General features: G+C 41.0%; 1 long non-coding RNA gene and 1 pseudogene across 6 annotated transcripts in view; both read left to right on the forward strand.

Annotated features, from left to right (window-relative positions):
* LOC105369225 (uncharacterized) overlaps positions 1 to 14,650 on the forward strand; it is a 72,359-nt gene that overhangs the window by 30,795 nt on the left and 26,914 nt on the right. The window contains exon 3 of one of the 6 annotated variants that reach the window (XR_002958152.2): positions 12,534 to 12,595. The exons of 4 other annotated variants lie outside the window; for them this stretch is intronic. This is a non-coding gene — a long non-coding RNA (uncharacterized LOC105369225). One more of the 6 variants, XR_002958153.1, reaches the window with a different exon arrangement.
* LOC102724345 (ARF like GTPase 17A pseudogene) lies at positions 4,184 to 14,305 on the forward strand (annotated as a pseudogene).

The following is a 14,650-nucleotide window of genomic DNA, read 5'->3' on the forward strand; positions in this document are numbered from 1 at the left end:
AGTGATTAGTAGTTTAATTCAGAAGTATCTCTTCCCAACTCAAAAGTCTCACTTTGGGCTGAAAGTACAGAGGAAGAAGGTAGACTTTTAAGAAGTCTGAATAAGCCCCCAACTTCTGGAGTCCCTTTCTCAATTCCTGTTGGGAGTGGGAAATATTATAAATTACTCTGGGCATTAAAAATAGCTTAGTTTAACCTCGATTGTGGAGTTAAAAAATAACAAAGATTGCATTGGTCAAATCTGGACAATTTGAGCATTCAAAAGAATAACAACAATAAGTTACAACATATTTAATATAAAGAAGAATCCACGAAGAGTGATATAGAAAAAGAAAGAGGGGGAGTTCTTCTTCAATGAAATAATGCCAGCTAGTAAATGTAGAAGGAATGACAGAATTTTTAAAAGTGTCACTTTGCAACCATCAGTGTAATACAAATTCATTCAGACAAGGATTATCACTGATGCACATTTGGGTGAAAAGACATTTGAGAACAGGATCTTCACTGAACTCAAAGTAACAACCCACAGATTATTTATTAATTACCAAGCGGAAAATTATTATTTTTTATTTTTATTTTGTCACCCAGGCTGAAATACAGTGGCAAAATTATACCTCATTGCAGCCTCAACCCCCCTGGGCTCAAGGGATCCTCCAAATTCAGTCCCCCGAGTAGCTGGGAGTATAGGCTTGCACCACCATGCCCAGCTAATTTTTTTTTTTTTTTTGTACTTTTGTATTTTCAGTAGTGACAGGGTTTCCCCATGTTGCTCAGGCTGGTGTAGAACTCCTGGGCTCAAGCAATCCTCCCACCTCAGCCTTCCAAAGTGCTGGGATTACAAGTGGGAGCCACTGTACCCAGCAAAATAATTACAATGGAGAGATCTGGAAGTTCACCTTGGTCAAGTGATCAAACTTAGTATTACAGGCCATCTGCAGTTACGAGGCAGGAAGGATACATCACCTATGCAGTATTTTTCCCAAAAATGCTTAACTTGAATTTCGTCATGAGGAAACAGACAAATCCGGATTGTGGGACAATTTACAAGACAACTATCTTTGACTCTTAAAAAATGCCAATGTCATGAAAGATCAAAGAAAGTAGAAGCATGTTTTAGATTAAAGGAAATGAAGACATGACATGCAGTGCCTGATCTTTGATTAGATTCTGTACTATTCTTTCATCTTTCTGGCTTGTTTGAATTTTTTTCAATACGTAAATTTGGGCAAAAGAGGTAACTGAGACAATTGATTAATTTATTGTTGTGGCTTATTGGGGGCACTTTCAGAGAGATAAAAACAATCCCTGTAACTGAAGTAAAAGGTTAATCTTAGGCAGTATAGCATGGTCATTAAGAATACAGATTCCATAGCCAGACTATGCTTCAATCTCAGCTCTGCTAATAATGTGAATTTGGGCAAATTGTTAAATCTCTGTTCCTTGGCCTTGTCATTATAATAGTACCTACCTCTAATGAATTTTGAGGATCAAATGAATCCATACCTGAAAAATGCCTGGTGCACAGTGAGTGCTCAATAAGAGTTAACTATAATTATTATGTTGCAGAGGTTGTGGGGGGCCTTTTCTGAGTCCTCCAAAAGGATGGCTTTATTGGGGCCACATTGAGACTGTGAAAACAGAAGAGGGTTTCATGGATACAAGAAGTCTATGAGTTGGGGGTACAATGTATAGAGTTTTAGATTAAAACTGCATCCAATGAGTTGGCCTGACACATCTTTCAAACCTATAGAGGAACAATCACAAGTGACTAGTATTATTCCTTTGGGTCCAGTGGAAGCCTCTGATCTTCATATGGAATGGACCCGGAACCGTAACCCAGCATTTTGTTATATAGCAACCTTACCTCTGCCACAAAGGTGTTTCTTTTGTTTATTTTGAGGCCGGGTCTCGCTCTGTTACACAGGCTGAGTGCAGTGGTGCAATCTTGGCTCACTGCAGCCTCTGCCTCCTGTGCTCAAGTGATCCTCCCACCTCAGCCTCATGAGTAGCTAGAACTACAGGTGTGTGCCACCACGCCTGGCTAATTTTTGTATATTTTGTAGAAATGGGGTTTCACCATGTTGTCCAGGCTGGTCTCGAACTCCTGGGCTCAAGCCACCCTCTCTCTTTGGCCTCCCAAAGTGCTGGGATTACAGGCATGAGCCCAAAATTTTTGGTATTCTTTTTCTGCCCCCAACTTTTTATTTTAAACATTTTCTTTTTTTCCTTTAAGCCTTAGGATGGTTGGGAAACATTTTCAAATGGTATAATGAACACCTGTATAACTTTAATCTGGAATCAGTAGTTGCTAATACTTTGCCACATTTGCTTTCCGTGTGTGTATGTCTATACATTTTCTGGACAAAACCATTTGAGAGTCAGTTGCAGACATAATGACCCTTCACCATTGAAGACTTCAGTGTGCAGCCCCTAAGAACCAAGGCATTCTCCGACATAACCAGAGGACTATCATCACCCAATGGAACTTCATATTATCATTGTCTACTATGTGGTCCATATACACATTTTCACAATTGTCCCAATCATAACATGGCTTAAAAAATTCAGAATCCAATCAAACATCAGACATTACACTTAGTACATGATTCTTTAGTCTCCTTCAATCTAGAACTGTTACCAGGATTGTTTTAAAGTATACTGACAAACCTTTCAGACTACAAGGAAAAAAAAAGTGGATAGCAAAGAAAAAATATGCCACAGAACTTTTCAGGTCAAAAACCCTAAAAGTGACTATGTTGGTAGGAAGCCCTGACTGTGGAGGAAACACTATTTCTAGCATCCTCCATAATTCAAGTTGCTCATCATAATTCGTTGTTCATCTATTTTTTTTTTTTTTTTTGAGATGGAGTCTCACTCTTGTTGCCCAGGCTGGAGTGCAATGGCTTGATCTTGGCTGACTGCAACCTCAGCCTCCCAGGTTCAAGTGATTCTCCTGTTCTGCCTCAGCCTTCCGAGTAGCTGGGATTACAGGCACCCACCACCATGCCCAGCTAATTTTTGTATTTTTAGTAGAGACGGGGTTTTACCATGTTGGCCAGGCTGGTTTTGAACTCCTGACCTCAGGTGATCTACCTGCCTCAGCCTCCCAAACTGATAGGATTACCAGCATGAGCCACTGGGCTGGATGCTTGTCTTTTATCTTTATAAAGTTTTTAAAATTCATGGCTTAATTTGCACAGTTAAAAAAAATAGGACCAATTCTTTTGCTTTATAGCCAAAGAAGAAGGAATAAATCTAAGAGGAGGAACTGGTCAAAACCATACTCCCACTTGTCTTCTTGTATGACATCACAGCCTTTCTTACATTGCATGTAATCACCTGTCCACTTGTGAGGCTCCTGGACTATGAGCGCTTTGAGGGCAGAGACCACATTTTTTTATTTTCCTGAGATGGAGTCTCACTCTGTCGCCCGGGCTGGAGTGCAGTGGCGCAATCTTGGCTCACTGCAATCTCCGCCTCCCGGGTTCAAGCAATTCTCCTGCCTTAGCCTCCCGAGTAGCTGGGATTACAGGTGCCCGCCACCATGCCCTGTCATCCCCGTGCCTGGCATGATGTCTGAAATGTATTAGGCATTTAACAAATGTTTATTGAATAAACAAATGACATTTTGTTTGTATGTCAATAAAATGAATAAATTGATTTTGATGCAAATTTTTATTCCAAAATGCTAGAATCGATTTTCTTTTTAATTCTTTAAGGTGAACAAGAAAAATAAAAGAAACAGGAAGAAATAAAAGAAAATCTGCCTTTAGGTTGACCCAAGAATCATCTTTGTACTTAGGCAGAAATTATAAAAATAATAATTATTACAGTGAGTATCTACTGGGTTGCCAGGTATTTGTGATCAGCAAACACCTTATGTGGTAGATATTATTATTGCCCTATTTTTAAATGAGGAAACTGAGGCACAGAGAGGTTATATAACTTGTCCTAGGTCACCAAGCTATTAAGCAGCAAAGCTGTAATTTGAACTCATGTGTTTATGTATGAAGAAAAAGGGTTTATTTTAACCTTAGGTTTTTAAAAAATTTTTATTTTCGTTCTTCATTCTTTTTCTTTCTCTCTCTTTTTCCTTCCTTCCTTCCCTCCCCCTTCCTTCTTTCTATTTTCTTTCCTTTCCTTTCTTTCCTTTCTCCTCTCCCGTCCACTCCCCTCCCCTCCCCACCCAAACAGGGTCTTGCTCCATTGACCAGGCTGGAGTGCAGTGGCGTGATCTTGGCTCACTGCAACCTCCTCTTCCCAAGCTCAGGTAACCCTCCTTCCTCAGTCTCCCAAATTGCTGGGACTATAGGCACGCACCACCACGCCTGGCTATTTTTTGTGTTTTTAGTAGAGATGGGAGTTTCGCCATGTTTGCCAGGCTGGTCTTGAACTCCTGATCTCAAGTGATCCACCTGCCTTGGCCTCCCAAAGTGCTGGTGTGAGCCACTGGGCCCAGCCTTAATATTGAGAAGACTAAATACAGAAGTGCCTTTCAACCTTCTTCTACTCCTCTGGGAGGACCTCTATGAGAATTACAATTTCTCATTAGCAGGGCATGGCAGCGCTTGCCTGTAATTCCAGCTGTTTCAGAGGCTGAGGCAGGAGAATTGCTTGAACCCGGGAGGCGGAGGTTGCAGTGAGCCAAGATCAAGCCACTGTACTCCAGCCTGGGCGATAGAGCAAAAAAAAGTGGATTACAGTTTCTCTTTTTATGTCTTTCCCCTAATCATTTCCCATGATTAAATAGTTAATTAGTCTATGGTCGATGAGACTTCTTTTTTTAAGAGACACATTCTCACTCACTGTGTTGCCCAGGCTGGAGAGCAGTGGCTATTCACAGCCATGATCCCACTAGTGATCAGCATGGGAGTTTTGACCTGCTCTATTCCTGAACTGGGCTGGTACACCCCTTTTTAGGCAACCTGGTGGTCTCCTTTTCCCGGGAGGTCACCATACTGATGCTGAACTTAGTGCGGACACCCAATCAGCATAGCATGCTACAGCCCAGAATTCCTGGACTCGAAGGATCCTTCTTCCTTTGCCTCCCGAGTATCTGGGACTACAGGCATGTGCCCAGTGAGCCTTCAGACATTTAAAACCATGTTGTAAGTGACATCAGTGAAAATGGTGGAATAAAGACATCGAGGCTGGGCGCAGTGGCTCACGCCTGTAATCCCAGCACTTTGGGAGGCTGAGGCAGGTGGATCACGAGGTCAGGGGATCGAGACCATCCTGGCTAACAAGGCGAAACCCCGTCTGTACTAAATATACAAAAATTAGCTGGGCGTGGTGGCAGGCGCCTGTAGTCCCAGCCACTCGGGAGGCTGAGGCAGGAGAATTGTGTGAACCCAGGAGGTGGAGCTTGCAGTGAGACGAGATTGCGCCACTGCACACTCCAGCCTGGGCAACAGAGTGAGACTCTGTCTCAAAAAAAAAAAAAAAAAAAAAAAAAAAAAAAAAAAAAAGAGACATCCAAAAATTCATCCCTTCATAAAAGCAACAAACACCAAGAAAAGGGCAAAAAAAAAAATTGACCATAATAAACTTTTTCAGAACTCTAGAAATGTAACCAAAGTCTTGCAGCAACCCGAGGAGCATTTATTCAAGAAAAATTTCTGTAAGAACAGTGAGATTTGTGTTAACTTGCCTTAGACCATTCCTCACTCTCTAGCTCAGTAGTTGCCTTGAAAAACAGCCCACATCCCCAAGCAGAGGGAGCAGAATGGAGCTGGAGCTCCTTCAAAGCCTTATTCTCAGTTAACTGTCATGATGTCATCTGTCTGGTGGTTCCCTGGAAGACCTCATTTGAAAGGTTTGTCTTTATTTGACCAGAATGAAAGCTGTCTAGTGCTAAAGCCTCTCCACAGAGGGTGTTTTTGGAAAACAATTACAGACAAGTGTTTTAACATGGCAACTGTATTCGGCAATGAATAACAGTTTGGGGAAAAAAAGCCTAATCGAAAAGCTTAATAGGAAAAGCTGAGTAATAAGATGTCCACAGGAATTTTGAAACACTCTGATATATGCTTGGGAAACTAGAAGTCCATAAGACATATTCCTGGCAATTTGCAATGTCATGCGCATGCATAGGGCAGGCTGCCAGCATGGTCAGGAAAGACCTACTAAGTTCATAAACTCTCACCCCTGGCTGATCTTGAGGTTCTGCACAAGCAAGAAGTGAAAGCTAAGGCATGGCTGTAAATTGTCTAGCTGAGTGCTGAAGGTATGCCCCAACATGTACACAGAGCCCCTTGGCAAAAACTAGGAGACTTATCAGTTCCAAGAATTTAAGTAAATCTTCATTTAATCATTAGCTGATCGGTAAGCTAACCAAGGAGATACTTTAGTGGCAACACATGACATATAATGCAACACTTTACAGAAGAAGTTCAGAAAAGTCACTAAATAAATAGCAACTACTAACACAAGCAGCAGTAACACCAAACCCTGGCAGCATGGATCTGATTTTCAGAATTGCTACATTATATTATTTAAAATATTCAATTTTTAACAAACATTTATGAAAGATGCAAGGAAACAAAGTATGGCCCAAACACTTGGTGGGGGGAGAAATAAGCAGAAATTGTCCCTGAGAAAGACCAGATATTAGACTTACTAGACAAAGATTTTTTTATTTTTTATAGTTGGGGTCTTGCGAAGTTACCCAGGGTGGTCTTGAACTCCTGGCCTCAGCCTCAACCTCAGCCTCAGCCTCCCAAAGTGCTGGGATTATAGGCATGAGCCACCATGCCTGGCCTAGAGAAGGATTTAATTCAGCTATTTAAAATATATTCAAAGAGATAAGAGAAATGATTCAGTTCTGTAGACTAGAAAACTAAAGGAAAGTATGAAAGCAATGTCTCATCAAATAGAGAATATCAATAAAGAGATAGAAACCATAAAAAGGAGTCAAATAGAAATTCTAGAGTTGAAAAGTATGGTAACTGAAATGGAAAAATTATTAGAGGTTCTCAATGGCACATTACAGCAAGCCGAAGGAAGAATGGGGAACTTGAAGGTTAATTGAGATTGTTGACTCTGAGGAACAGAAATAAAAATGAATGAAAGTGAATGGAATCTCAGAGACCTGTTTGTGGAACACATCATCAAGCTTACTAACATACACATAATGAGAGTCCCAGGAGAAGAAAAACAGAAAAAAGGAGAAAGAATATTTGAAGAAATAATGGCCCCAAACTTCCCAAACATGATGAAAAACAATCTGCATATTCAAGAAGCTCAAGGAACTACAAGTAGGAAAAACTGAGGGATCCACATCTAAACATACTGTAATCAAACTGACAGAAGCCAAAGACAGAATATCTTGAAAGCAGCAAGAGAAAAGCAACTCATCACATACAAGGGATCCTCAATAAGATTAATAGCTGATTTCTCTTCAAAAACAATGGAGATGCTGGGCATGGTTGCTCACACCTGTACTCCCAGTGCCTTGGGAGGCTTGAGGCTCAAGAATTGCTTGAAGCCAGGAGTTGGATACCAGCACTGGCAATAGAGTAAAACCCTGTCTCTACAAAAAATTTAAAAATAACTGGGCATGGTGGTGCATGCCTGCAGTCTCAGCTACCCAGGAGGCTGAGGTGACAGCATTGCTTAAGCCTGGGAAGTGGAGGCTGCAACGATGTGAGTGGTTGCACCACTGCACTCCAGCCTGGGTAACAGAGCAAGTCCCTGTCTAAAAACAAAGCAACCACACACAACAGTGGAGGACAAAAGGCAATGAAATGGCATATTCAAAGTGCTGAAGAAACTGTCAACCAATAATTCTATACCTGGCAAAACTACCTTTGAAATTGAAGAGAAATTAAGATATTCTAGATAAATAAAAACTGAGAGACTTTGTTGCTAGAAGACCTGCCCTATAAGGAGTACTAACGTGAATCTGCACAAAGAAATAAAAAGCACTTGCTGGGCGCAGTGGCTCAGGCCTGTAATCCCAGCACTTTGGGAGGCTGAGGCTGGAGGATCACTTGAGGTCAAGAGGTTGAGACCAGCCTGGCAAACATGGTGAAACCCTGTCTCTACTAAAAATACAAAAATTAGCTGGGTGTGGTGTTACGTGCCTGCAGTCCCAGCTACTCAGGAGGCTGAGGCACTAGAATCGCTTGAACCTGGGAGGCAGAGGTTGTGGCGAGTAAAGATTGTGCCACTGCACTCTAGCCTGGGCAACAGAGTGAGACTCTGTCCCAAAATAAAGAAAAAAAAATAAGAAAAAGATACTTACATAATGCAATAATTATAAATCTAGTTGATGAACATAAAGTATATAAAGATGTAATGTGTGACAATAACAGTATAAAGGAGGGGGTGAGAGTGGAGCTTTAGAGAAGCGAAGTTTTTGTATACCATTGAAACAAAGTTGGAATTAATCTGAACTACAACGTTATAAAATTAAGATGTAGCTGAGACTACAGGTGCGCACCACCACACTCGGCTAACTAAAAAAAATTTTTAGAGATAGGGTCTCACTATGTTGCCCAGGCTGGTCTCAAACTCCTGGCCTCAAGCAATCCTCCTTCCTTGGCCTCCCAAAGTACAGGGATTATAGGTATGCACCACTGCATCTGGCCACAAACATTTTGTTTTTTTACTGTTCATTTTTCTTTTTTTTTTGAGACGGAGTCTCGCTCTGTCGCCCAGGCTGGAGTGCAATGGCGTGACCTCGGCTTACTGCAACCTCCACCTCCTGGGTTCAAGTGATTCTCCTACCTCAGCCTCCTGAGTAGCTGGGATTACAGGTGCCTGCCACCACCCCCTGCTAATTTTTGTACTTTTAGTAGACACGGGGTTTCACCATGTTGTCCAGGCTGGTCTCTAACTCCTGACCTCAGGCAATCCACCTGCCTCAGCCTCCCAAAGTGCTGGGATTACAGGTGTGAGCCACTGCGCCCTGCTAACATATCCTCTTTCTAAAAAGCTACATATATTGCAAAGTATTGGAATAGGAATAACATAGCAGTTAGGTTGGGCGTTTGGGTTGATTACATATCTTTGCTATTATCAGTACAATTCTTATCAAAATCCCAGCTGGCTTCTTTCCAGAAAGTGACAAGCTAGTTCTAAAATTATAATGCAATTTAAGGCACCCTAAATAGCAAAATAATCTTGTAAAATAACAAAGTGGGAAGACTCAAATGTCCCAATTTCAAAACCCAAATCAAATCTACAGCAATCACAGTGTGATACTGGAATGTGGACAGACAAATAAATCAATAGAATAGAATTGACAACCCAGAAATAAACCCTCACATTTATGGAAAATTGATTTTTGACAAGGGTGCTACAACAATTCTACGTGGAAATAATGTTTTTTTTTTTTTAAATGGTGCTGGAACAACTGAACATCTATGTGCAAAATAATGAAGGTGGACCCCCTACATCTCACACGATTATAAGAATTGATGCAAAATATGTCAAATACCTAAATGTAAGAGCCAAAACGATAAGACTCTTACACAAAAACATGAGAGTAAATCTCATGACCTTAAATTAGACAACAGTTTTTTCTTCTCCAAACTGGATTTTTTTTCTTTTAAAACAATTTTGTCTTTTGAATTTAATGAAGTATTACTAGCTGAAGGCAGCCTGACATGGTGACAAGAATGTCAGACAGATGAAAGGGACACAGCCTGATTTAAAACCAAACACTGAACCTTTTTAAAGAAGAATAAGACATTTTATACACACACATGACACCAAAAGCACAAACAACCAAAGGAAAAATAGATACATTAGATTTTATCAAAATTAAAAACTTTTGTGCATCAAAGGACACTGGCAAGAAAGTCACAGAACTCACAGGATGAGAGAAAATATTGGCAAATTATCTGTTAAGGTCTAATATCCAGAGTATCCAGAAGATATAGAGAAATTCCTATAATTCAATAAAAAGACAAATCAATTTTTTAAATGGGCAGAGGATGTGAATAAATATTTCTTCAAAGAAGATATATAAATGGCTCATATACACATAAAAATGTTGAATGTCTTAAATCATTAGGGAAATGTCCATCAAAAACTGCAGCGAGATACTACTTTACACTCACTGGGATGGCTATGAGAAGAGACAGACAACGACAGTGTTGACAAAGACCAGGAGAAATTGAAACCCTCAAACATTGCAGATGGAAGTGTAAAATGGAGCAGCCACTGTGGAAATCAGCCTGACAGGTCCTCAAAAAGTTAAACATAAGAGTTGCCATACGATCTAGCAATTCTGCTAGGGATGCACCCTAGAATTAAAAACATGTCCACGCAAAAAGTAGTACATGCATGTCCATAGCAGCATTATTCATAAAAGCCAAAATAAAGTAGAAACAACCACATGTCCACTAAGTGATGAATGGATGAACGGATATAGTGATGGCTCCATACAATGGAATATCACTCAGCCTTGCAAAGGAATGATCCATGCTGCAGCATGGGAGGACCTTAGAAACAACATGCTTCGTGAAAAGAAACTAGACACAAAAGGCCACATACTGTATGATTCGTTTATATGAAAGATCTAGAATAGGCAAATCCATAGGGACTCAAAGTAGATTAGTAGTTACCTGGGCCTGCGGGAAGACAGCACTGGGGAGTGATGGCTAATGGGTACCATGTTTCTTTTTGGGATGATGAAAATGTTCTGGGGTTAGATAATGGTGATTGTTTGCTATACAACCTTGAGAATATACTAACCACCACTGAATTGTACACTTTATAATACTGCGTTGATGGTATGTGGATCAAGTCTCAATGTAACACAAAGAAGCATGTTGTACTGTATAGAACACCAGGTGCCAGAAGACCAAACATGCTGGCAGATGGAAAAAAGAGGAGTGAAGATTCACTCTCCCTTGACCAAGATCAGAGTGAGTCAGTGGCGAGGCTGGGAGCCACACAGCTTGTCCTGCCTTGTGATCCCCCTCCTCTTCCTATTCCAGATGGTTTTTCAGTGCCATTAACTTGTTTTGTAACACTAATATTCAATAAGATGATGTTACAAAGAGAAAGAATGTGAGTGCCACATGACTGGTTAAGTATGGATTCTCAAACTAGGGCTTTAAATATCCTTCGTGATTTTTTTTGGCATGAAAACTTGTAAGACCACTGGTGGGCTCTGTACAAAGTCGGCTACCCCTTCATTCTATATCTTCCTCTGCCCACTTTCCTCCCAGCTATTAAAAATGAATGTAGGCTGGGCACAGCATCTCAAGCCTGTAATCTCAGCACTTTGGGAGGCCAAAGCAGAAGGAGAGCTTGAGCCCAGGAGTTTGAGACCAGCCTGGGTAACAAAGTGAGACCCTGTTTCTATTTTTTTTTAAACACCAAAAATAATGACTGTAAGGCAGTATGTAGCCAAACAACTTGGCAAAGTTTGTTATCTTTCCTCCAAAATTCTCTCACTCTCCAACCTTCCCTCTTTCTTGATAGCTCATCCATAGCCTTGAGCTCAGCATTACCTCTGAACTAGGAAGCTCTTCTCCAGCTGACATTAGGATCTTTGCATTTGTCCCTAATGAAATCAAAATATAGGGCCATTCGATATTATCCTCTTTTCCTCCTGTTCTAAGGCATTCTTTTCTTGACTAAGGTTGTGCCTGGGCCATGGAGAGACTGAGTGGGAACTGGCTCAACGGCTCAAGTTTGAGGACTCTACAGCAACTCTTTTCCACAAACCAAATGATATGAATGTTTTTATTTATTTATATTTATGTTTCCACTTTTTAAAAGTCTTTTTGTAGAGATTGGGGTCTCACTTTGTTGCCCAGGCTGAACTTGAACTCCAGGGGCTCAAGCGATCTGCCTGTCTTGGCCTCCTAAAGTGCTGGGATTACAGGCATGAGCCAGCGCGCCCAGCCTCGAGTGTTTTTAGATTCACAGTAGATGACCATTTCCATTTCTGGTTCAAGTCCTTCATTTTATACATTAAACTAAGGTGCACTGACTCCCAGTCCATCGCCTTTTTGGTATCTTTATGGAAGTAAAATGTGGCAAGCTTTTTTTCAGCCTCAAAGACTGTCTCAGAGTAAAAGTTTAAGAAGTACTGCTCTAAATAATTTTATTAAATATGCCTTATTAGATGAGGAAAACTGAAATATTTTTATACAAGCCTTTTGCTGTAGAACAATGGGACAGAATAAAGGTAGCTCACAAAATAAGGGAACATTTCTTGCCTGTTTTTTTTTTTTCCCTCCAAATTCTTCTGTACAGGTCCAGATAGATGAGCTATGTTTCCTTTCTATTAACTGAGGAGACAGAGATGAAAGGACTGGAGCATGTCATCACTGTCTTAAATGTACTGAAATCCTAACAGCTCTAGCTGAAAAAATGTCCAAAGCAGGCCGTGAAAATAAATTTAAATGACAAACTCCAAAATGATCTATGCTAGAATCCCAAGGCTGTCAGGGAAAACTGGTTCCATGGAAGAAGGTAGTCAAAGAAATAAGCAGATGACCTAGACCCTCACCCAATATGCGCGATGTACTTGGGGAGAAAGTAACCTCTTTCCTTTATTCACCTACATAGGTTCGTGAGCCACACATCTCCCCACACCAAGCTCCTCCATACAAGACCTCGGACTGCATCATGTAAATGCTTTTTCAGGGGCAAAAACTAGAGAATCTGAAATGGTGAGCCTTTTTCCTTTTTTTTTTTTTTTTTTGAGATGAAGTCTCACTCTGTTGCCCAGGCTGGAGTGCAGTGCAGTGGTGTGATCTTGGCTCACTGCAACCTCCACCTCCTGGAGTCAAGTGATTCTCCTGCCTCAGCCTTCAGAGTAGCTGGGATCATAGATGCCCGTCCCCATGCCTGGTTAATTTTTGTATTTTTAGTAGAGACAGGGTTTCACCATGTTGGCCAGGCTGGTCTCGAACTTCTGAGCTCAAGTGATCCACCCACCTTGGCCTCCCAAAGTGCTGAGATTACAGCATGAGACACCATGCCCAGCTGTGAGCCTGTATCTTAATCAAAGTCCTGAGAATAACCTTGAAGAAGACTCCCTTGCAATGAGCAACAACAGAAGAAGCAAGGGACCTGGAATCTGGCAGACCTGGGTTTGAATTCTGGCTCTGTCACTTTCTGGTGAAGTGACTTGAGTAATGAACATGAGCCTTTCTGGGTAGCATTTACAGCACAAAGCAATTTGAGGAATAAATGAAAGAGCACGTGTCTAGTGCCTAGCAATGCGCTGGACACAGTGCCGGTGCTCAGCCATCATGTCACACCAGCACTGACCGGTGAGCATAAACCCTGGGGATGCCCAGAGCTGGTACAGCCAGGAGCTCCAGAAGCGTGGGATTCTCAGAGGGAAGTGGAGCTCACTGCTCTACAGGTCCTATTCAAGTTAGAAAGTAAGATACAATGCACACAAAGCCAAATTGTCATCATTCAGCTCCTATTACAGGGGAACTAAGAGCTGCATTGAAAATTACTTGCAAAGCTTGTAAGTGGTTCTGCCACTTATTAGCCGTGTGAACCTTAGCAAATTACCTAGCATCTCTGAGTTTCAACTTCCTCATCTGCAAAATAGAAATGATAATAATAACTGCATCGCAAGAGTTGTTGGAAAAATAAAAATGAGGTATCATAGGAGGTAACATGTATGGAGCATTTACCATAGGCCAAGCACTGTTCTAAGAACTTCGGACATGTTATCTCACTGGTATAAGTACTTAGGTGCCTACAACATAAACAGCACCTGGTAAATTAAGTATTGAAAAAAATGCTATGGGGCAGAGGAAGAAATGCTAAGCTTCTGTGAGAAGAGAAGACAGCTTGTTACACAGGTGAAAAGAACAAGCTGCAGCTGAGAGAAGAAAAGTATGAGTTGCTAGGTGTGACAATCTCAAGACTTTTCAACCACTACAAATTTAAACAGCCACCCTAAATCACCCCAAAGGACAGACTCGAGTTGTTCTTTTTGTCTTTAATGTTTGCGCCTCTCCGAATCAGAGAAGAAGCTGCCAGGATTCCAGTACATACCAAAACATGATGACAATACCCTCAACTGTGCAAACTTTTGTGCATCTACCGCTATGTAAAGGAAGCTGATGTCAGTAGACTGGGGGGAACAGTAAGGCATGTTTGTGACCGAAGCTCAATTTGCCATCACAGTGTGGCCACACCTACCTCACTAATATTCTAATAGTGGGATAAATAATTCAATAGGGATAAAGCCTGGATTTTCCTCTTATTCTCTCTTAGTGCTTACATTCTTGGCATGATATCGATGTGCCATAGACAAGCCAATATGTGAGTGTACTCTATCTGAATAAAGTATAGCCTTTCTACATTGCAAAGTCATCCAGTTTCTAAAATTATTGTTAGAACCAATGAAGTGACTAAGAGAATTTTAAAAAATAAGCCATCAGTCTGGACCTGTGTATAGGAATGAAGGAGAAGCACTTTAAAGTCAGGGAAAAAATATAAACATACTTAACATTTAGGATTATCAACCATTGCTGCTTTTCCATAAACCATTTCATTCATGATTTCATCTGTAAGAGATATGATTATTGCCCCCATTCAGTGAGGGACTTTGATAGTTAGCCGCCTGGTCCTTCTTGCTTGGATGCCCTGCAAATAAATGTCCTCCTTTCCCCAGTGCAAAACCTCGATATGGTTGTTTGACTTTACTGCGCTTG

The sequence above is a fragment of the Homo sapiens genome, chromosome 17 (assembly GCF_000001405.40).
Source record: "Homo sapiens chromosome 17, GRCh38.p14 Primary Assembly".
Classification (NCBI taxonomy): domain Eukaryota; kingdom Metazoa; phylum Chordata; class Mammalia; order Primates; family Hominidae; genus Homo; species Homo sapiens.